Genomic DNA, 22193 nt, shown 5'->3' with positions numbered 1-22193 from the left:
GTTCTATCCCAGGGAGATGGGAGTTTTATCTATAAGTTCCTGACTGGGGCTGCTGTCTTTTTTTCAGAGATGTCCTGCCCAGAGGGCAGGAATCTAGAGAGGCAGTCTGGCTATAGCGGCTTTGTGGTGCTGTGGTGGGCTCTGCCCAGTCCAAACTTCCCACGAGCTTTGTTTACATTGTGAGGGGAAAACCACCTACTCAAGCCTCAGTAATGGTGGACGTCCCTCCCCACACCAAGCTTGAGCATCCCAGGTCGACTTCAGGCTGCTGTGCTGGCAGCAAGAATTTCAAGCCAGTGGATCTTAGCTTGCTGGACTCCAGGGGGGTGGGATTCGCTGAGCAAGACCACTTGGCTTCCTGGCTTCATCCCCCTTTCCAGGGGAGTGAATGGTTCTGTCTCGCTGACGTTCGAGGCACTACTGGGGTAGAAAGAAAAACTCCTGCAGCTAGCTTGGTGTCTGCCCAAGCAGCCACCTAGTTTTGTGCTTGAAACCCAGGTCCCTTGTGGTGTAGGCACCAGAGGGAATCTCCTGGTCTGTCGGTGGTGAAGACCATGGGAAAAGCCTAGTGCGTGGGCTGGATAGCACCATCCCTCATGGCACAGTCCCTCACCGGCTTCCCTTGGCTAGGAGAGGGAGTTCCCCATCTCCTTGTGCTTCCTGGGTCATGTGACGCCCCACCCTGCTTTGGCTCGCTCTCCGTGGGCTGCACCCACTGTCTAACCAGTCCCAGTGAGATGAACCAGGTACCTTAGTTGAAAATGCAGAAATCACCTGCCTTCTGAATTGGTCTTGCTAGGAGCTGCAGACCAGAGCTGTTCCTATTTGGCCATCTTGCCTGGGAATCCAGTGTTTGCTACTTCTGAAGCAAACCACTGTGAATTGGGCTAAAACAATTTCATTCTTAATATTTGCCTTATAAATTTTATTAATGCATGAAATTTTACACTGCACAGAAAATCGGAAATTTGCCTCTCCCTTCAATATGAGAATAGCACATAAATAAATAAAAATATGCCTGGGCGCGGTAGCTCATGCCTGTAATCCCAGCACTTTGGGAGGCCGAGGTGAGTGGATCACCTGAGGTTGGGAGTTCGAGATCAGCCTGACTAACATGGAGAAACCCCATCTCTACTAAAAATACAAAATTAGCCGGGCATGGTGGCACATGCTTGTAATCCCAGCTACTCAGGAGGCTGAGGCAGGAGAATCGTCTGAACCCAGGAGGCAGAGGTTGTGGTGAGCTGAGATTGCCCCATTGCACTCCATCCTGGGCAACAAGAGTGAAACTTTGTCTCAAAATAATAAATAAAAAAAAAAATAAATAAATAAATAAATGTATTATTTATTTGTTTATGTAGAGATGGGATCTCTCTGTCACCCAGGCTGGAGCACAGTGGCCTTATCATTACTCACTGCTGCCTTGAACTGGGTTAAAGTGATCCTCCTATGTTAGCTAGCACCACAGATATATACCACCATGCCTCTACAAAATTTTTTTAAATTTTTTGTAGAGATGGGGTCTCCTTATGTTGCTCAAGCTGGTCTCAAACTGGTAGTCTCCAGTGATCCTTCTGTCTTCGCCTTCCAAAGTGCTAAGATTTCAGGCCTGAGCACCTGGCCCAGTTTTCATCATTTAAGGGCATTGGTAGTGAGGCATTTGTTTCTTCTATTTGATTAAAAAAAAATCTTAAGTCTAGATATTTTCTTGTATCTCTTTGATTAGGTGCCTAAAGCAATCTGAAGGTAAACTAGTTCATTTAAAAATAACGTAAGAGGCAGTCATCAAGTATGCTTTAAAAAAATCATCAGATATGCTTTGTTTTAATACCTGTCGTGTTAAATATTGAAGACCACACCATATGTCTAATGAAAGCTTCATTAGGAAGACATTAGTAGATTAATTCCACTTGCTGTGTGGTTTATTTTATTTAGAAGGCAATAAGGTAAGTTCATTGCTTTGCAGGCATAATGTTTTCTACTGTACTTGAACGCAACCAGGAACAATTCCACAGAGGTCTTTGGATCTACTAACACCTGTCAAGATAAACACACAGTTCTCCGGGGGAATCATCTCAGCAATAGAACAGAGAAAATGTGAGGGAAAGTAATTCTTTTACAAAAGGAAAATAAGACAGTTTTAGAAAAGCAACATTGATTAATAATTTTTCAAAATGCCTCAGAGGTCATATATTTCTTATACAGGTATCAAAAAATTTCCTATCTTTTAAGAATAAATGTTTTGGAGCATATACTTCTTACTTTAAAATCAATATTCTAAGAGACTTGAACTATTGGAATAATTGTGCAATTTGAATTGAGCTACTAGAAGTTTTTCCAACTCTTATAGCTAGTCTTCCCTCATCCATCCCAGAAAAAAATATTAGATGATAAGTTTTGCTATAGTAATATTATTTGAATGGTTATAGTGAAAATGGTGACAGTATTTCCATTATAAAACCCTACAGTTAAGAATTTATAAGTTGGCTATAAATGTTTGTTCTGTAATTCAACTTGGCAGCAAGCATCTTAGCTTGGCAGTACTTTCTTTTTTTTTTTGAAGTATGGAAAAGAAAGACATCTGTTTATAACATGAGTAGGAAAATATGACAATGAATTCCATCATTCTTTATAACCAGCTTACTTAGCATTCAAATTAAAATTAAGCCTAAACTTCTTATATATTTTAGATAATAAAAATAACTCACCAATAAACCTATAAGGGTAAGTTGAAGAGGATTTGTTTCATTTCTCTGTTGGCTTTGGTGATTTTAACCACTAAACATGGTGATAGACTTAACCAGTTGCTTTGATCATCATTTATTCTGCACAATAGTAATGTGAATACACTGTTACATATCCTCACTCTTTTTTTAGGTATTTGTAATATTCTACACTTGAGAAGGTAGCAAAAAAATGACAGAGTTCAGAAATTTTTCCAATGGGGAAATATATATTAACATTTGATAGAACAATTAATGCAATACTAAGAGACGAAGGAAGTAGAAAAGATAGTTTTACAGAGAGAATAGCATGGGATATGTCAAAGTAAAAACAACAACAACAAAAAGTGTGCAGTGTGTTTTATGGAAGAGTGAGAAATTCATGTGGCTGGAGCCTGGGGTGTTTGTGGGGAAAGTGGCAGAAGTTGAAATGGAGGTAAAACAAGAGGCATGGAGGCACATTTTAAAGGGCTTAATATAACATGCTACAGAATTTTAATTTTACCTGGTAAAAAGGTCTTGATAGTAGAATAGTCATACCAACTTATCTATAGTATTGACATCAGAATATCTCTGACAAAATGTGTAACCTAACAAATATATATATATGTATATATAAATATTGTATATATGTGTATATATATGTATATATATATAATTTATATATCCTGAATTTCTGAATTGGGTGGGGATTAGATTATAGATCCCAGATAGAGACTCAATTTGAATCGCATGATTAAGTTCCTCTCAGTGCATTCAAATTGTAGTATATGCTCTACAACATATATTCACAAAGATAAATCAAATTGTTTTATGCTCTGAGTCCTTGGACATTCAGGAAATTAAACATATGGTACATGATTTCTGGTTCCTGGTTTGAGTATCTGTGTTTACCAAAGAATTTGGAAATTATGCTTTAGTCTTAATATTACCCTAAATTGCCTTAGAGTTGTCCTTCCACTTCTAGTTGTTCTCAACAATCTCATGCTTCTTTCTGCAGTGGTAGATGTGTATGACAGACAGTGTCTTGGAATTCAGGCACACAGATCCCAGGTTGCCAGTTCATGGCATTGATCTTTTCTCTAGCTGATGCTGGTTGGACTGGAGGCCTAATATGCCCAGACCTGGAAGGGACTTTTTAATTTTTGTTCTTGTTTAGTTTAGTTTTGTTATGGTGACTATTTGGATGACCAGTATTAGGAATTATATGTAACAATATTATCATAAATTCTGATTTATTTTCTCCCTACCATAAAACAAGGGGAAAAAAAACCCATTTCAGAAAACAACAGCAAAAAGCTAGTGTGTGTGTGTATATATATATATATATATATATATATATATATGTATGCACTCTAGACGCTAAGGTAGTGTATATATAGATACACACACATATACTCTAGGCACTATTGTATTTTAAATGCTTTAAATTTGTCGACTCATTTAATCCTCACAACAACCCTACAATTAACCTTTTTTACAGATGGGAAAACTGAGCTTAAATAACCTGCCCAAGGCCACATAGCTAGCAAGTTTGTAGAAGCAAGAATTGAACCCTAGTGTAGTGTCTGAGTTCCTGCTCATAGCCACTGGTAAGGCAACAAATAAAAGAGCTCAAATACAAAAGATGAGAAGGAAAATAGAATATTTTTTTCTAACTGTAGTAAAGAGAATTTATAGTTACATGGTGTGAGATGAGAACAAATAGGTTTATATAATAGACATCTTGAAGTTTTTAAAGAATGCTTTAAAGAAGAGAACTGGGAACAGCACTATGATCTATGCTTAGGGAACACTGATCTGCCTGTAGTTATATTGGATCAACTAACGGGAGGTGAGATCATTGGTAAGGAGCTTAATGAGAAAGCTCTCCATGTGTTAGTTAATAAAACCTGAAATAAGGACCTTGGCATTCCCCTGGACTAGCAGCTTCAGCATCACCTGGGAGCTTGTTAGAAATGCAAATTATCAGGGTCCTCCAAAGATTAAGGAAATCAAAAGCAAAGCAATCTGTGATTTAACAGCCCTTCTAGCCCCTCTAGTGTATGTTCTATGCACACTAAAGTTTGAGCAACACAGATTTAGAGAAACAGAGGCTATGGTAATAAATTAAGAAGTGGCTGAGCTTGACTATAGACTGAGTGGGAAGACTTTAGAATATGGCCAAATTAAAAACCACATCGCAGCTCATTATCTTTATGTCTTTGGCATAAAGTACCTATGAATAAAGAATAAATAAGCTAAACTAAGTACACATGAATAAAGAATAATAACATATTTATTGTGTGTTTAATAGATTTTAGAAATGGTTCCAATTTCATTACATTTAGCGTTATAATCATTTTCCAGATGAGGAAACTGGGACAAGGGGCCCTTAAACTCAATGTCACATGAATAAAAACAATGAAGCTTGGATTCATACTCACAGTCAGGCACTCCAGTCTCATGTTGTCACGCTACATTATGAACACATTGAAACTGAAAGAGCATGAGCCTAGGAAGTGTTTGTCACCAACAGAAATCGGTTGAAACAATTCTACAAACTATATAAGCTGACAGTGATTAAAAGATGGCATATTATTGGTTGGTGCTCCTGTGATGCCTGCAACACTTGAACTTGCAGTTATAGTGAAATCTCTATGACCCTGACTTGGTACTTAAGCACCAAGTTGTATGCAAGCCACCAAACATGAAATTTTTATTAAATCGAATGAAAGACAAGATAGAGATTACAGAATATTTCAGAGCTAAACACAACCAATCTTGACTTGAATAAATCTAGTCACGTTTCCAAGTCAAACTGCACATCTAGGCTTTAATTCAATTTGAGTGACTTGAGTACCGCATTGGCTCATCTTGATCCCCAGCACTCCCTCTGATTTGTTATATCATTGGGGAGGTGCTAGGTAATAGCTAAGTTGACTGAATTCACCAATCTATATCTATGACTGGACTATCGGTGGTTGGAGGTGAAAGTGTTCCTCAAGATAAATAAACACTTCATAAATAAACCTGACTTTTCTGTAACACAAGTTTATCATCTGAATAATAAAAAGATTGCAGTAAATCTCCAGAGATGCTTTTAGCCTGGCATTATTATTATTATTATTATTATTATTATAATATTATTATTATTATTATTATTATCAATGCTCTTACTCTCATTTTCTGATCTTACTCTTAGGGACCTGCAATAATCCAGAGGGGTAACAGGATCAGGGGTTTAGCTTTACAGCTCTCCAGAACAAACCCTCTTCTGAGTCTGTCCCTTTTTACTGACGCTCAGTTCAAACTCAGAAAAGTAGGTAGATGGATATGTGGGGTCTGCTTATCTTTACTTTATGGGGATACTGGTAGAAATGCAAAATGCAAGACCGACACTCTTCTCATTTTTAATTTTTAAAATATTAGTGCTGCCTGTGGGTTTTAATATATTTCCCCTCTGCTGATTTTAGTGTCTACTTTTCTATTTAAAAAGCTTAATACTGAGCTTTAAGGGTTTCCAATTAAGCTTAAGGAAAATATGAAAAGAATGAAAGTGTCTGCCTGACAACCATCCTGTTTTTTGAGACAAAAAGGTTGATTTTTGTAATATGAAGAAATAACTTGAAATGGCCTGTCCTTTCCCATTTCTCCAGAATCTCCCTCTTCCACTCACTCTCCTCTTCCATCTCTTTCTATTTCTTTTGTGTTTTCCTCTCAACTTTCAAATCCATGTCTCATTTCTTAACTGTTGTTCAACGTAGGCTCCCTGTATTCTTGTTCATGATAAATCATCAGGCGTGAGTGGGCTTAGGACAGCTTAGCACATACAGTCCTTAGGTTCTTTTAGGTAGATCTCAGTAGCCATGGTTGTTGGCGGCAACTGAGTGTGAACCCCGTTTCCAAGAGTTCACACAAGTACAGCTCATAATGAATTCAACACCAAGACCAACTTCTGCTACAGATCTAGACATTTATTAATGAGTAGGCACAAAATTTTGTAGCCTATTCTAGAAGCTTGGTGAAGTTCCAGCTCTTCATTCTTTTAAGTACCTGAAAAAAATGTCTTCCAAAAATGGTTTTCCTGAAGCAAATATGACAGTATTTCAACGACAGCACCCACCTCACCATCTCTCAGAATTAAGTGACTAAGAACTGTTAGGGATCAACAATAGTACCTACCTCATATCATTTTGTAATGATTATATGAATTAATTCATTTAAATCACTCAGAGTAGTGTGCTAGAAATAAGTGTTAGTTTTTATTATTACTATTATTATGGAACCATTCCTCATAATAAAGGGTGAAAAGCCTCTTAGAGTCACATACTCTGTTTATGTAGAAGTGAGGCGTGTTCAGGTAAAATTTAGTTAATTCACGCATCTTGCCTATTAATAATTTCACAAAGGATTAACTTCCTCCTAACTTTCGTTGGACCAATTAACAAGCCCTTAATTTCATCAGTGATAACTTATTTTCAACAGATATTATAACTAATGAGCACAGCCACATCATAATTAGAGATGATAGTAGCACAAGGCTTCTAGAAGCCACCTCTGTCTGCTGTAATTCTGACTGAGGTGTTGGGGCATAAATTCCTGATAAAGGCACTGACACTCTTGGGGTACAGACAGCGTTAAGAAACACTTACATCGCACTGTCTGTGCTGAATTTTTTTAGAATACATTACAGTTAGCCAAAAACCATGTTTCCTCCAACCAGTTCTTCAATCACCTGAGAACAATTTGTGAGATTCTGCCTCAGTTTCCCTTAGATAACAAAATTGCAAGCCCAAAGACTGAGTAGCTGAAGAGACACAAATTAATGGGTACACACAAGCTTTATTTGCTTCATCCAGATTACTCATGTTTTTGCCCACAATACTTTTTCTACACTATCTAGACAGAGAATTGCTCCTTGTTCCACAAAATTACAATCATTTATAACAAATATTGCTGTATCCGTATCACAGCATACACCCTAGAACCTCCTAAGTATTGCAAAGGTGCCCTAGACATCTGCCTGGAAGACTACAGCTACAATTTCTTCTTTTGAGGCAGCCATAAATATTTTCTCTTTAGCTCTTGAGACTCCTGTAAAACTAAGATTTCTGGCCCATCCTTTCTCTAACCCTGCCTTTATCTCCCAAGGCCCCAGACAATATAAGACAGGCAGGGGAGTGAGGGAGGAGGGGAAGCATCTTCCTAATTGAATGCTCTTGGGAAGGTTATTCACAATCTTCTACGCTTATTCTATTTCTATGGCTTTTCCTTATACAAATCGCTCTCCAAAGTCCCAGCCTTATCCATTCCTAGCAATCAAGAGAATAACAAATACAGTTGATCCTTGTTATTTATTTGTAGCCCTGGCACTTTGATGATCCTTAGCAAACACGCAGAGAATGGCAAACGTTTGTGTTCCCAATGCACATGTTCCTGGCTGAAGTTGAACAAGACTATTGGCTTCCTTCTTGTTTCAGCTCTCACACTGTAAACAAGTGCGCTATTTTAGGTCTTTTTAGCACCACGTTTTTGTGTTTTACGTTGGTGACTTTGCTGTTTAAAATGGCCCTCAAGCATAATACTAAAGGGCTGTCTAATGTTCCTAAATGCAAGAAAGATGTGATGTGCCTTATGGAGAAAATACATATTAGATATGTTTCTTTTAGGCATGAGTTAGAGTGCTGCTGGTCATGAGTTCAATGTTGATGAATCAACATTATGTATTAAGGAAGGTGTCATTATCATTCAGAAACACATAAAACAAGGCAATGGATTGATTCAGTGATGAAAATGTGATCAGAGGTTTGCAGGAACATAGCCCTGTATTTCCCCATGGGAGCAATGGTTCAGTATTTGCTAATTCAGTGTTCACAGGGACTTTATTTGCCACAGCTACTGTGAATAATGAGAACTGACTGTAAGTACTAAGAGACTAGATATGTTTCACATATGCTGGACACTAGAGGAAGTAGGAATGAAGACTTGACTCTTGTCCCCTTCAGGCATCTACCATTTATTTGGGGAGGAAAGGATAGATTAACACAATATATGAGGGTATTGGAAAACAATGCAATGTTCTACGTATCTTTTAGATGGAAGGCAACTGAATGTATTGTGCATGGTGATCAGCTTGAATATGTTAGACCTGTATGAGAGAAGAGACATAACGCCTTCATGTCAGGGAGCAGTTGACATATTTTAAAGAACACCAACATTAAATATTGCATGATATCCTTTCTACCCTGTGGGATTGTTAGGAAAGATAGAAACATGAGTATTTTATAAAGGAAGCCACAGTGCCTCAGGGAAAGACTCAGTAACTAATGTGATGTAACCAGTAAATGGTGGCATCAAAAATGCAGTACGGATTTCCTAACTCCTAATCCAGTGCTCTTTCCATGCTAACACTATGAAATGTCAAATTCAGAATATGGACCTGCAGTCCTGAAAACATACTGTGTGGATGATTTTCCTTTTCTTTTTGAAGCTCTACTTGATATTTTTAAAACGAATAATCACGACTCTTGTTAGTGAATTAAAATACATATGTTGCAAAATAACAAAATGAGTAAGAAATGACTGGGGGCAAGGGCAGAAACAGTTCACAGTGGAAAATGATAGATTTTGCGTCTGCTGGCCTTCGAGCAGCTGTGGAAGGTTGGGAGACACGGCATATTTAAATAGATAAAAGCATCATGTTTAGCAAGGCTGAACTGTTTCAATCAATATACTACTGAAGAATTATCTTTTAGTATCATAAAATAAACTTTTGACAGGAATGTGACATGTGTGATTGCTACAGGTGTGATTTGGGGGCCACTGGACACTATTTATATAGTGGGCATCAGAGTCCCATGGTTGAATCTTTGGACTAGGAAGCAATATACAAGTCTAAATGGCCACTTGGGTTAGTAGCTGATTTGAATCAAATCTTCCCAGAATTACATTTTTTAAAAAATACTGGACTTTATATTTGTTGATAACAATTATGTAGATGGTGAGAAGCTAGTGAGAAATCATTCCTGTTCAATGTTGCTTTCTTTTGGCTTTAAATAGAAATAAAGACAAAAAAAAAAAAGTCCAGCCACTGGACATGTCATAGTTTTTTATCATCTTTTGGAAATCAGGGAAATGTTTAAATCATAGTCCCAAGTCTTAATCACCAGCATCCAGTGCCTGTGGTCCTCCTAGCCAAGTTCACTTGCATTGCTAGATTTCTACTCTTAAATTTATGCTGGCTTTGCTGGTCTTTCATCTAGGACACACAGCTTTCAGTTAAAGATGCTGTATTTCATCAAAAGCATATAAATGTCCTATTTCCCTTGGGGGCACTAGATTTAGGAATTTTCATTTCCTGATGCTATTTTCTTTATAAGACAGGATGAGAGAAAGGAGGAGTTCCACTGTTAGCAAAGATCATCACAGCGGGGCTTCTATAGAGATCTTGGAAGATCTTAAATATTCCTAAAATATTGACTGAAATACAAGCAATTTTATTCATGCCATTTCTTTCTTTTCTGCTTTCTTCCTGTTTCTCTCCTGACCCTTCTCTTCCTCTCTTCCCATTCTTCCACTTTCTGCCTCTTCTGCAGCTGCCAAATTAATGCATCCTTTTCCCTCCTTGTGAGTTTTGGTCCCCTGAACTTCCACTGCCTTATATGAGATATAATATGGTAATGGGAAGAAGAATCCTTGTTATGAGTAACATATGTGATTAACAGATCATCGCGACTGATGCTTGAGTACAAGGTATCAAGCCATATTTAGCAGATTGAGTTTAAACACCTGGTAGAACAAGTTTGGTCCAATAAAAAGACCCGAATTCTCTCCCTTTTAAGATCTCTAAAGACACTGGTTACATCTAAACCATTGGGTAGGGGAAGGGTGCCATTTGCCATTGTAGTTCAGATGGAGGGATCACCTGGTGGAGGGAGAGTTGCTTTTTAGGTGTTCCCGTTTCGCCTTACACGTGTCCCTTTGATGCGTGGAGAATGCAAGGGAGAGGCAAAGCAGGGCGATTTTCGTGGGAAGCTAGACCAGCCTCCCTCGTTACATAGGCTCGTCCTCTGCATTGCATCCGAGCTTCAGTGATTTGCTGTTTGGAGACTGCAGATTTGCATAGAGCCCCTTGCTTCACCAGCGTGTGTGGTTTTTCTTTTCTTTTTTTCTTTTTCTTTTTCTTTTTCTGTTTCTCTCCCTTACTCCTTCGTCTGCATCTTCTTCTCAGCTGCCTTTCCGCCGTTCGATTCCCACTTCCTTCAGAAGGGCGCACTCTTCCCTCTGAACCCCTCGCCGGGCGTAAGTGTCAGGAGGCGGCGGACGCGGAGATTGCCTCGGGAGCAGGCGATGCGCGCCGCTGCTCCGCGCGCTGCCCGGGGGAGGCTGGCGCTAGCGGGCGAGCCGGCCGGGGCTGAATGGAGGGAAGGGGCGCCTGGATTCCATGGGGTCTGCTTCTGTCTTGAAAGGAGGTTGGGCCGGCGAAGTGGCCTCCCTAGTCCCCGCACACAAAGCTAAATGGATTTACCTAGTGGATTCGCGGTGGATGTCTGTCATGTAGAAGTGAGGACCTTCCAGGAGGAGCTTTAAACAATTTCTCGGCCCCCCACCCGCCGGCACGCACTCTCGCCCGAAACTCTTTGGGAGTATCTCTCGAGAACCTGGAGCCCTGGAAATCTGGGAGCAGCCACCCGCTCCGCGCTTGCTGTTCCCGGGGCTGCCTTTCCGGACAAGCCCCTCTCCAGCTGCATTCGCCTCGGCTATGTTTCGGATTGTTTGGGGTGCTAGGCACGGCGGACTCCAGGACCCCGAGAAGACTGTCCGAAGGAGGGAGAGGATGGGTGCCCTGGCGCGGTGAGGCGGCCGGCCCCTCAGCCCACTCCGCGCCGCCCGCTCCCCTGCGCCCTCTCCTCTCCCCGCGCCCCAAACTTTGCCTCCCGCGGCGGCTGCCCCTCGGCGGGCGCCCCGCCATGTACCAGAGGATGCTCCGGTGCGGCGCCGAGCTGGGCTCGCCCGGGGGCGGCGGCGGCGGCGGCGGCGGCGGCGGCGCAGGGGGGCGCCTGGCCCTGCTTTGGATAGTCCCGCTCACCCTCAGCGGCCTCCTAGGAGTGGCGTGGGGGGCATCCAGTTTGGGAGCGCACCACATCCACCATTTCCATGGCAGCAGCAAGCATCATTCAGTGCCTATTGCAATCTACAGGTCACCGGCATCCTTGCGAGGCGGACACGGTGGGTCTGCGATGCCAAGTTCTCGCGGGTTATCCCCTCGCTCCCCTCTTTCTACCCTGCACTCGCTCCTGGGCTCCTAAGGCTCAGAGAAATGGGAGCTCGACAAAAGGGAGGTGCATTTGGGTGTGCTTGGTGCGAGCCACTTATCTCTTTGAAGACAATAGAAAGGGGATGGGGGAAGGCGTCGCGGGTGTTGGTGGTGAGGGGTGGGAGGGGCGTTCCTTGTCGAGGTACTGGGAGAGAGATGTGGACACCTACTAAAGGACCAGCCCTGGTCGCGCGGCTGGGCCCCGCGGGAAGGGGGCGTCAGTTGCCAGAAGGTCACTCAGTGGCCGGATGGGGCGCCGCGCTCAGCTAAGGGACCTGAGCACCAGAGAGAAGAGGGCTCTGCAGAACCTTTTGTCTGTGCTGTATATGCTGCCCCACCTCCTGCCCATCTTCCCTGGCCCCGGGGGGCGGGGAGGGAGAGATTCCAGCCCGCACATTCCTCCAAAGTGCGCCCAGACTGCAGTGACAGCGAAGCAGTCCTGGGACTCACTCAACAGGAGGCCAATTACTTTTGCCCCCACGCCTTCCCTTAATTAGAAAAGCTAGGAGGGCAACCGAGTCATCCCCTTTAATGCGGGCCAGCCCTTCGCAGGCATGGAGGGGACCTCTGGACACCATTCCCCTTCCATCCACTCTGCACATAAATATATGTCTTTTTCTTGGTAATTAGGCTGAGTTCTTTTCTAAATGGAACAGAGAGAGGCTTGACTACACATACCCATCTCCCGGAGGATCACGTGTGAAGGCTATTGGAACCAGGGAGGTCTTACTTCCTCCTTCAGTGATTAATGCTTTCCAGGAAGGGCAAGTCAGTCAATGCTGGCTGGGCTAAGCCCGGAGGTCTGCCTGGAGAAGAAGTTAGAGCTAAGGGAAACTATTCTCCTAATGCCCTGTCCCTTTGAAAACAGCAGAGTGTAGAGAAAAGCCTTGGTTGGCAGCTTTCTCCTCCAGAGTGACCAGCACTGTGAGGCCAGATTCCTCTAATTTTCAGATAAATATCTATTCCAGATTCCCCGAATTGCCAAAAATTAAAACATCAATCTGTTTTTGTGAGTCGTTCCCCACTCCCAATTTTTATTCTACCCCGGTGTAAAATGCACTTGTTTAGAAAGCAGAGTGAAAGTTGTGGGCACTTTTTTTATATCCATTTTCCACCTCTTTCTTGCAGGACCCGTCACCTTTCAGACTTGTTTCAGCTCAGAATCCTTTGCCCCACTCCTTATGAGTTTGCTCTGCCCTGAGCAGCTGCTGGTGCTACCAGGATGGCCCTTTATTCCATGGATGCAGGGTGGGGTGGGGGTTTCCCACCTGGGGACAATTCTGGTTAGATATGAAAAACTATAGCATAATCTAACTGAAGAGAGACCAAGTCCCCTAGCAAGCCCTCTTTGGGAGCATACTAGAAAAAACACATCCCTGTGGGTTCTAGGAATTTGTTCCTTTCTCCTTCTCCTAGTTCTCTCCCAGAAATTCTCTCCAGTTAAGAGTGTCTAGTATGGAGACGAGAGTGATGTCCCAAGCTAGGGATTATTTTTATAAGTAACAGAGATTAGATCTCTCTGAAAGAATAAGGAGTTTCTGGTGATCTCACCACAAGCCCACAGTATTCTAGGAGCTTGTTGTTCCCTTTACCTGGGTGCAGTTCTCAACCACTGCCCTGCCTTTGTGCAGAATTGTGTGAGTCCTGAGGGACGGAGGCAAGCCAGGGTGCAGGAAGGGCAGAGTGTGGGTAGGTGGGTGTGGTGAGGCAGATGGGTGTATGGAGCAGGTGGAACACCTAATTGTGCCAGTGGGAAGCACTTGGCTAATAATCTCATATGCAACTTCTCCTTTTCTGTGTCTCGGCCTCTCTCCAGAGGGATAAGGCTGCTGGGGACGTGGGAGAGGAGAAGACCAAGGGGCCCTGCCGCAGAGTGGGGCACTCCTTTTTCCTCTCCGCTGCAAGCTTCTGCCCCAGTCAGGCGCCGTCTGCTGGCCTTTACAAACATTTCTTTCCCTCCAGAATACAGTGATTGTCTCTGCATGTGAATGAAAAATCAGAGGTGTCTGTCATCGAAAAAGAGAAAGAATAGGATAGTAGAGAAAATTGTTGTGTGTATAGTGGTTGGTATTATTCTTTTGGGTCAAAGAACTTTCTGTTTCCTTCGAAGGTTCTGTTGTATGGTCGTGTTTGTGTATTTTTGGATTTCTGCCCACTCTCCTTCATGCTTACTCTTTTGGAAGAGGCTGCTCCTCTTCTGATTCTTTGTTTTTTTCAATCAGAGGCGCAAACTTACATGTCAGTAACCAACCCCTGCCAAATAAAAGCCAGGTGTGAATTTCTCATACTTCATCCTTTCTCTCTTTTGAAAATAATATTAACTTTATAGAGAACAATCAAGGAACATTAGGATAAAAAATAAGCCTCTCAGGGTGGGGGATGGAGAAATGGGGTGAGGTGTGAGTGCAGAGGGACTGAGAACACGGCAGGCAGGGTGATGGCTTAAAGAGAAACCTAATAAGAAAGAGGTGATGTTGAATTTGTTGGGTCAATAGCTCTCTGAATATTTCGCTAGTTGTTGGGACAAAGGACCCACAAGTAAAGAACCCTTGAGCCTAATAGATGAGGGTGAAAGGAAAGCACAAACGTTAATGACAATATGATAAATTCATAGCTGAAAGTCAAGACAAGTGAAAATGAGGTTTAGTTCAAAATCTGAGACTATTGCAAATTTATTTGGCTAGATGAACAAATGAACTAGGCTGTTTGGTTGTATTAGAATTTCTGTGAATCGTAAGACATTTTCTTTCATAATAGAGAATGCATGTATATGCTTGAATGTGTAAAATAAAAATTCATTTATGGTATAGTTTAAGGAATAAAATTGAGTCCCCTATGTTTTGAAAGCTGCTGGGCTGACTATCCAGGTTCATTCTTCTTCATTTTCTCATCTTGCCATGCTTCATTTGCACTATTATGAGGTGTCACTTACAAGGTTTGCAGGGCGCAGAGAGCGCTCATGGCTACCCGAGTATCTTTGTGCAAGCTGACCCAGTTGCAGAGATTATGATGAGGATTTTTTTTAAGGGCCTGTGAGAAGCAGGTTTTGAGAACACTGCAGGGTCCTTTTATATTTTGCATTGGCTCAAAAACATAAATGGTGAAACTACCTCCATAGAAAAATTGTGTTTTTTTTTTCTAGTTAAATAGAGGGAGAACTGTGTGACTGTAAATGACAAAAAGCAAGCCTGCTTGTAATTAAGAATGCTACTTAACGCCAACAAGAGTCCAGAATAGACCAGTGTGCTCAGCCAGTACTGCTTATGTGATGTGCCATATGTGGGGAGCATGGAATGATGTCAGTGAAATGCTTAGGTTCCCATCTCAGCTCCCGGCTTTCCTAAGTGCCTCTGCATACTTTAGAAAATTAGCTTAGAGTCTCTCAATAATTTCAGGAGATAAAGGAAGGAGAAAGCCACCAGTGCCATCCTTTCTCCTCCCACAAATATGAGCTCTGGAAATTATATTGCCATGATTAGCTTACACTATTAAAGGGCAAAAGGGCTTTCCCAGAAGGAAGTGTTAACAGATTTTAAAAGTGTGGTTTGTAATTGAAGTTGCTTAATGGTGTTATATAAGGATAATAATTATATCTTGAATTTATAATGTTTCTGTTTCTGAGACACTTTCAGTACACATACCAAACTTCTAAGAGGATAGGTAGGTTTCAGAGTGAGTTTGAATGTGATTTTCCTGTAGGGATACTGAGGCATACCATAAATGGGCCAAAAGACGGAGCCAGATGTCTGATCAGAGTCAAAGAGGAATTAGAATCAAGGCCTATGGCCCATAGCCCAGAGCAATTCTATGAGCTCAGAGGTTTTTAAACTTAAACTTAAACTAAGAGGGTCCTCTATGCCGTTTAATGGTTGATCTCTTAAGAAATAATTACAAGATACATGGTCCAGCGTTTTGCTTCAAGCATGTTTTAACAATAATGCACACTGTTAGAAAGCTGTTGGTACCTCACTGGAGTCCTGCAGATTACTTCATTGATTCTGCTGAGGAGGTTTTTGTTTCTCTGTTTTTCCAGGAGGCAGGAGGTTAATGTTTCATAGAGTAATCCCTTTACTCTTTTGTGTGGCAACCAAGAGAGCTAGCAAAACCTTTGACAATATTCTCTACATTGGGGAAATATTTAGCTTTAATGTTTAATATTAATTAGCTGGTAATGAATTCATATGTGTGACCCAGAATGTTTTTGGCTATGACTGTTCTGCTGAAACAGACACTGGTGTTCCACACCTTTTCCTTACTTTGGATTCTTGGACAAAATGTTATATCACTTAAATGCTGTTTTCAACAAGATGGCCAGCTACTATTTTTGGAAGAATCTTTGAATCAATGATGATCCAAGTAACCCTGGCACTTTAGAATAATTTTTTGGTTGCCCAAAACTTTAATAGATTTATTTCTTAGATTGTTCATTCATGCATTCATTTATTCACTAAATATATCATAAATTCCTACTATGAGCATGTGTTTGTATTTGTGTACCAGGTACCATGGAGGACCAGAGAATAATAAGGATGAGAGTAGAGTTGAGGTTGGAGGAGGCAAGATATCGGAGGCAGAACCATCAAGAAGTTTACAACTTAGTTCTAAAAATCCAAGCTATTGTTGGAAAGAGTTAATCCTTAAAGAGGCAAATTCAATTTTTTCCTTAAAAATACATAGTTTCCAAGCATAAATGCAAAAAACATAAAGTTTATGTATATGTAGCAATCATCTGGGACTCACCATGAAATGATCTGATAAAAACATCAAAATAGTAAATTTTATCTACACCACTTTCTATTGCCCTTCATTATTAATGTTCTAGAAAGAGCTCTTTATACAGTTGTTTTCCACCAAGTTGCTGCATATATTTTTTCTAACAAAACATAACAATTTCTACTTTTCGAACAGATATAAGTCTTGTTTTGTAAATGTAGTTAAGATAGGAATTCAGTGATTTAAATTTACACTAATAATGAATAATTAATGCAGACTGGTCTGACTAAATACTTCTCAGAAACATATCTGTGTAAAAATTTGGCCATTGCCATTTACTAGCACTGTGTAAATGTACGAAGCTGCTTATCTTTACTAAGAATGTTTTCTCCATTTATAAAATGAAAATACAATAAGTGAAGAATAAATGAGACCATGAATTTGAAAAGTGCCCAGACTATAGTAGGTTCCCAATGATTTTTTTTTTTTTTTAAGAAATACTTAAAAGAGACTTTAGAGCACATGTAGGGGAAATCTAGACCTTAAAATCAGAAGACCTGAGTTCCTGTCCCAGTTCAGCCAGTTATTAACTCAGTGACTTATGGAATTCAGTTACCACTTTGAACATCATTTCTTTCAGTTCTAAAGTTTGAGGAGTATATTCCTTTCATTTTACAGATGTGACAACAGAGATCTAAATAATTTAAGTGAACTACACTCATAGGGTCACAGCAAATCAGCAGCAGAGATGGAGGCAGGACCCATATCTTCTAACTCATCTTCCTCCTCCTATGGAATACTCTTCCATAAAGCCTGTACTCCAATAGAAGGGAAAGCCTGCACTAATTCATCTACACTCTCACCTGTATACTGTATGACCAAAAGCAGTCCTTTTTAGACAATTAACTGGGATTAGAGGCTTGGTCTTTGAGAAGAGAATAGAGCAACCAAACTTGGTTCATACAGAGAAAACCAGCTTTCCTTTACTGTTGACCATCACCACAGTCAGCCCTCGATGACTCATTTATGCTACAGTGTGTGCCTCTTTTAAAGAAAAAAACACAATTTATGTTTTGAGATGTTAACAATCTCAATAATAATGAGCATGACTTTTTATACTGTTTTGTCATTCATATTCTTGTTTCGTTTTTCTCTGTTTCTCTCTCTCTTTTTTTTAAATTGGACTAGCAGACCTCTAAGATCATTTCCAATTCTAAGTTTCCTTTGATCATAAGGATTTCTTAAAATCCTCATGGTCTTGTTGTCTTTTCCCAGGGACGTATTGATTCTAAACATATTGTAACTGGAGATATTTTTGCAAAGATTATATTCAGGTCCCTTAAGCCATCTAATTGTCCTCATGATTATTCTGGGAGTGGCTTACTTAGGTGCACAGGAGCCATGGCGTGGTGGTCAGGCTCAAGGTGCATTTGGCCTAGTACTTGTCTCGCAACTGAGGTCTCAAGGATTTCCTCTTAGAAAAGCACCCGCTTCTTTCATTTGGTCTTTTTGCCCAGCCCTTTCTGGTCTATGTAGGGTGTAGAATATCTCTCCACATAGAAGCTTGTAATGGCCTTTTAAAATATTCCATTCTCTCACAAAATACAAGATTGTTCAGTGTTGATCACATAACAATGCATTCCCTCAAGCTTTTGACAGAACTGAGTGAAAACAGCTATCTTTTAAGTATATATTTCCACAGTGCCTTCATATAAAGTGTCTCATTTAATCATCATCACAACCACGGCAGGGCTTATGATCATCATTTTGCTGACAAGGAAACAAATTTAAAGAGGTGATGATTATGTCAGGTTCACCTAATTAATATATAGCCACTGTACATTTGCTTTTCCATGACAATATAAAAGGCAGGGTTTTGGAAAAGACTAACAAACAAAACCCACTGGATTTAAATTAGAAGACCTGAAATTTGTCCCAGCATTGGTACTTTCCAATTCATGTCTCAAAAAATGTTCTTCATTAACAATAAAATTAGCCACAAAAGAGTAGCTAACTCATAGTTATTAAGAATTTCAAGTCAATATAGATGTGAAATTTATGTCTGCATTTCAGTGGAAGGAATTTTATCTAATATTACCTTGTGGTACTTAGTCAGTAAGTAGGAAGATGGAGATGGATTAATAAATGAGGACTGTTCTCAAATTTGACTTGAAGGGTTATGCTCAGGTAGTGATAAGGAATGTTATTTATTAAATAGTAACCACTATACTAAAAAGCTTTAACACTAGAAGATGATGATTCCTGTACAGACTTCCTTTTAATCACTAAATATACAAGTAGATAAGAAGAACCTGCTGCATTAATTGTGGGAACTTAATATCGGTGAGATTTGTGAATTTTAACTGAGGCAGTATAGAAAGGTGTTTCTCCAGTGTATTTTCAAGGTATGTGGTTATGTATATGTTGTTTTCTATGAACTTTCTTTGAATCTTGTAGTCATTTTTGTTGTGAAATTCAGAATATAGAACCCTTTGGGCTCTGAGATCCCCAGTTTAAATGTATTGCATAATGTGACCTACATTTTTTAAACCAAGGTTGTGAACTTTTAAATGTTCCTGTATATATTTGGTGACTTGTTTGTCAAATAATTAAAATTGGTAAAAGCATTATGATATATCTCTGAAAATCAGCAACTATAAAGAAAGAAAAAAAATTAACAGATTGTAAAAGAGTGCTTTTTAATATGTGGTAAAATACAAGGCAGTGAAATTTACTTATTTGGACAACACTTCTGCCATGATGCCATGATAATCATGGTTTTTTTGATTATCTGGGTTGCCATTGGACTAACGATGGTACATGTAATTATTTATGTGGTTTAGTCTGTCTTGGCAATTAGTTACCATTTGGTCATCATGGCATATTTTTCTAGATGACTTCAGGTTTCAGAGCTGCTTAAAGAGAAGTGGTATTTTTAATGCTACTTAAAACAGATAATTTTAGATTCTGAAATTTTTAATTTTATGTTAAGACTGAAAAATCTAAAGTGTGGATAGTTACAGAGCATAAAGTACTTCACTAGGAGTTGACTGTGATGCTGTTCTAAAAAATACATTCAGGAAAAGTGTGGTAGCCCCGTGACACAGTACTCTCACAGTAACCGATGAGCACATTTTGAAGGGGCATGCAGCAACACATTGTTTTATCTTTTTTTTTTTTTTCTCTTTCTAATATAAAACTATCCAAGCACATTTGAAAGAAGTATGTGGTTTTTCTGAGGAACTTGGCTTTCAAATTTTTCAAGATTCTGTCTTTGTTAATTGAATGAATGATTTAGTTCCTATCTATGCATCTATATCATTTTATGTATAGTTATCCTTTTCAATTATAAAATATATTACAATCTAGTATAGAGAAATAATACTGGAACATGTCTAATTTAAATACCTCTGAGAATTTTTGCCTAGAGGATGTACGTAGAGATTGAACCTTCTATTTGGTTTTCAGGGCACCATTTGATAGCTTATTTCCTTTTATTTCATACTCATTTCTGAAAATTATGTCATATTGGACCATTTGTGCCTACATAGTAGAAAAATTGATCATTTTCTAGATTCCATATTTCTGAAGGTGAAGCAGAGAAACTTTCCTCAATAGTCTAAGCTACATTTTCTTGAAGTCCACAGTTAACATTTTCAAAATCACAATGTGCTGTATCAGTCATTTGTCACGTGGATGTCAAAGTAGTAACATATGCTGGAATAAGATGAATAATAAATTAGTCTCTGTCAGCAAAGTGGCTAATTGGACATGCTGTTAAATATGCAAATAATGTATTTGGTTTCCCTACTCATTCTTTTTCTTGGGACTAGTCCTAGGTGAGATATAGAGGAGTTGTTGATGATGCTAGTGGATAACGTTTTGTGCCATAACTAAAAGTGGAACACTCCTGATGGGCTTCTGGTAAACATCTTTATACAAAAGTCTTGTGTTAATACACAAGGTATTGATATCTGGATGCCTTTAATTAATGACTGGACTATACAACAACAGTCTATTTGTACTGTTAACATTTTGCCTCAGTAATCTTATTTTTAAATGAAAAATTTGTGTTTTTTTCTTTTTAATAGAATTAATTAAATTTTAATTATTTTTACAAAATGAATTAATTCAACTCTTGGCTTATAGTGAGGAAGTGATTAAAATATTGTGGGATTACTTCACAACCCCAATTCTCCCTCATAAAAGCCTGTGCAGAGAAAGAACTAGAGCACATAAAATGGTAGTAAATGGCCAATTATATCATTTAGTTATTGAACAATCACTCAGTGCTTGTTATATGCCAGGTGCTGTTTTAAACTCTTAACAAAATATTGATTCATTTAATCCTTACAACAACTTTATGAGATAGGTACTTTACTCTCCCATTTTACCCATAAGGATATTGAGGCACAGCAAAATTAAGAAATAGTTAAGTCACTGAAACGGAAGTTGTGGGCCCTGGATTCAAACCCAAGCAGGCCAATTAGAAAGTCCATGCTTTTGGCCAGGTGCGGTGGCTCACGCCTGTAGTCCCAGCACTTTGGGAGGCTGAGGCGAGCAGATCATTTGAGGTCGGGAGTTCGAGACCAGCCTGACCAACATAGAGAAACCCCATCCGTACTAAAAATACAAAATTAGCTGGGCATGGTGGCCTTTGCCTGTAATCCCAGCTACTCAGGAGGGTCAGGCAGAAGAATCGCTTGAACCTGGGAGGCAGAGGTTGCAGTGAGCCGAGATCAAGCCATTGCACACTCCAGCCTGGGCAACAAGAGCTAAACTCCGTCTCAAAAAAAAAAAAAAAAAGAAAAAGAAAAAAGAAAGTCCATGCTTTTAACCTCTACATTATGCTGTCAATAAACATAATTTATTCTGACTGAGCATTTTGTTTCTCCTCTAGCTTTTATTGCCAGTGGTTCATAACAGACCCACAGAGAATGGCTATCTGGATTTACTTTGTCTAATTTCCAACAAGTCATTTCTCTGAAGGTTTAATGCCTTATCTTTATCTTCCAATTAGTTTTTAGGCATTGTGATTCTTAAGTACACAGGGCATCGAGAGGCTTCCTTGTGCTTCGCTTCCTCATCACTTTATTTGTTCTGACTGATTTATTAATCTCAAATGACATCTGTCGGCACACCAAGAGTAAAGGAGTGATTGATTTAAGATGTTTATTAATGTTTATTAACTACTTTCATTCTAGATGGCAAATACTTTCCCTACCAAATTGATAATCTGCTGTGATAATAGACTAATTTGCAAGCGCAGTCATGATTTACAATTAAAAGGGAACAGTGGTGATGAGTCTGATTATATGATTATACTCTCCTGAGATGAAAGGAATCCTGCAAATGGTTAAATAAAATCGTATAATTCTGAAGGCAGGATATAGAGAAAAGACTGACAATTAATAAACTTATTTGAGTATTCTAATTTTAATTATGGTCTCTTAATTATG

At 39.7% G+C, this 22193-nt stretch overlaps 1 protein-coding gene across 19 annotated transcripts in view, besides 2 other annotated features; it reads left to right on the top strand.

Moving 5' to 3' along the window:
- The window catches only part of NRXN1 (neurexin 1), a 1113630-nt gene that overhangs the window by 673509 nt on the left and 417928 nt on the right, over positions 1-22193 (top strand). For 4 of the 19 annotated variants that reach the window (NM_001330097.2, NM_138735.5, NM_001330091.2 and 1 more), the window contains exon 1: positions 10817-11933. The exons of the other annotated variants lie outside the window; for them this stretch is intronic. In NM_001330097.2, coding sequence (NP_001317026.1) covers positions 11675-11933 — 259 coding nt within the window. In that variant the 5' untranslated portion in view covers positions 10817-11674. Of the gene's footprint in view, positions 1-10816; positions 11934-22193 lie in introns of those variants that run through there. 19 annotated transcript variants of the gene reach the window in all.
- Positions 10964-11901: an enhancer, noted in NCBI's record as "H3K4me1 hESC enhancer chr2:50573861-50574798 (GRCh37/hg19 assembly coordinates)". NCBI's record gives its function as "activates a minimal SCP1, AML or CMV promoter by ChIP-STARR-seq in naive H9 embryonic stem cells {active_cell/tissue: H9 hESC(naive)}" and the evidence as "EXISTENCE:reporter gene assay evidence [ECO:0000049][PMID:30033119]".
- Positions 11902-12841: an enhancer, noted in NCBI's record as "H3K4me1 hESC enhancer chr2:50572921-50573860 (GRCh37/hg19 assembly coordinates)". NCBI's record gives its function as "activates a minimal SCP1, AML or CMV promoter by ChIP-STARR-seq in naive H9 embryonic stem cells {active_cell/tissue: H9 hESC(naive)}" and the evidence as "EXISTENCE:reporter gene assay evidence [ECO:0000049][PMID:30033119]".

Source organism: Homo sapiens, chromosome 2 (assembly GCF_000001405.40).
Source record: "Homo sapiens chromosome 2, GRCh38.p14 Primary Assembly".
Taxonomy (NCBI): Eukaryota; Metazoa; Chordata; class Mammalia; order Primates; family Hominidae; genus Homo; species Homo sapiens.
Note: the sequence above shows the minus strand (reverse complement) of the source record. Positions and strands in the feature narration are given on the sequence as shown.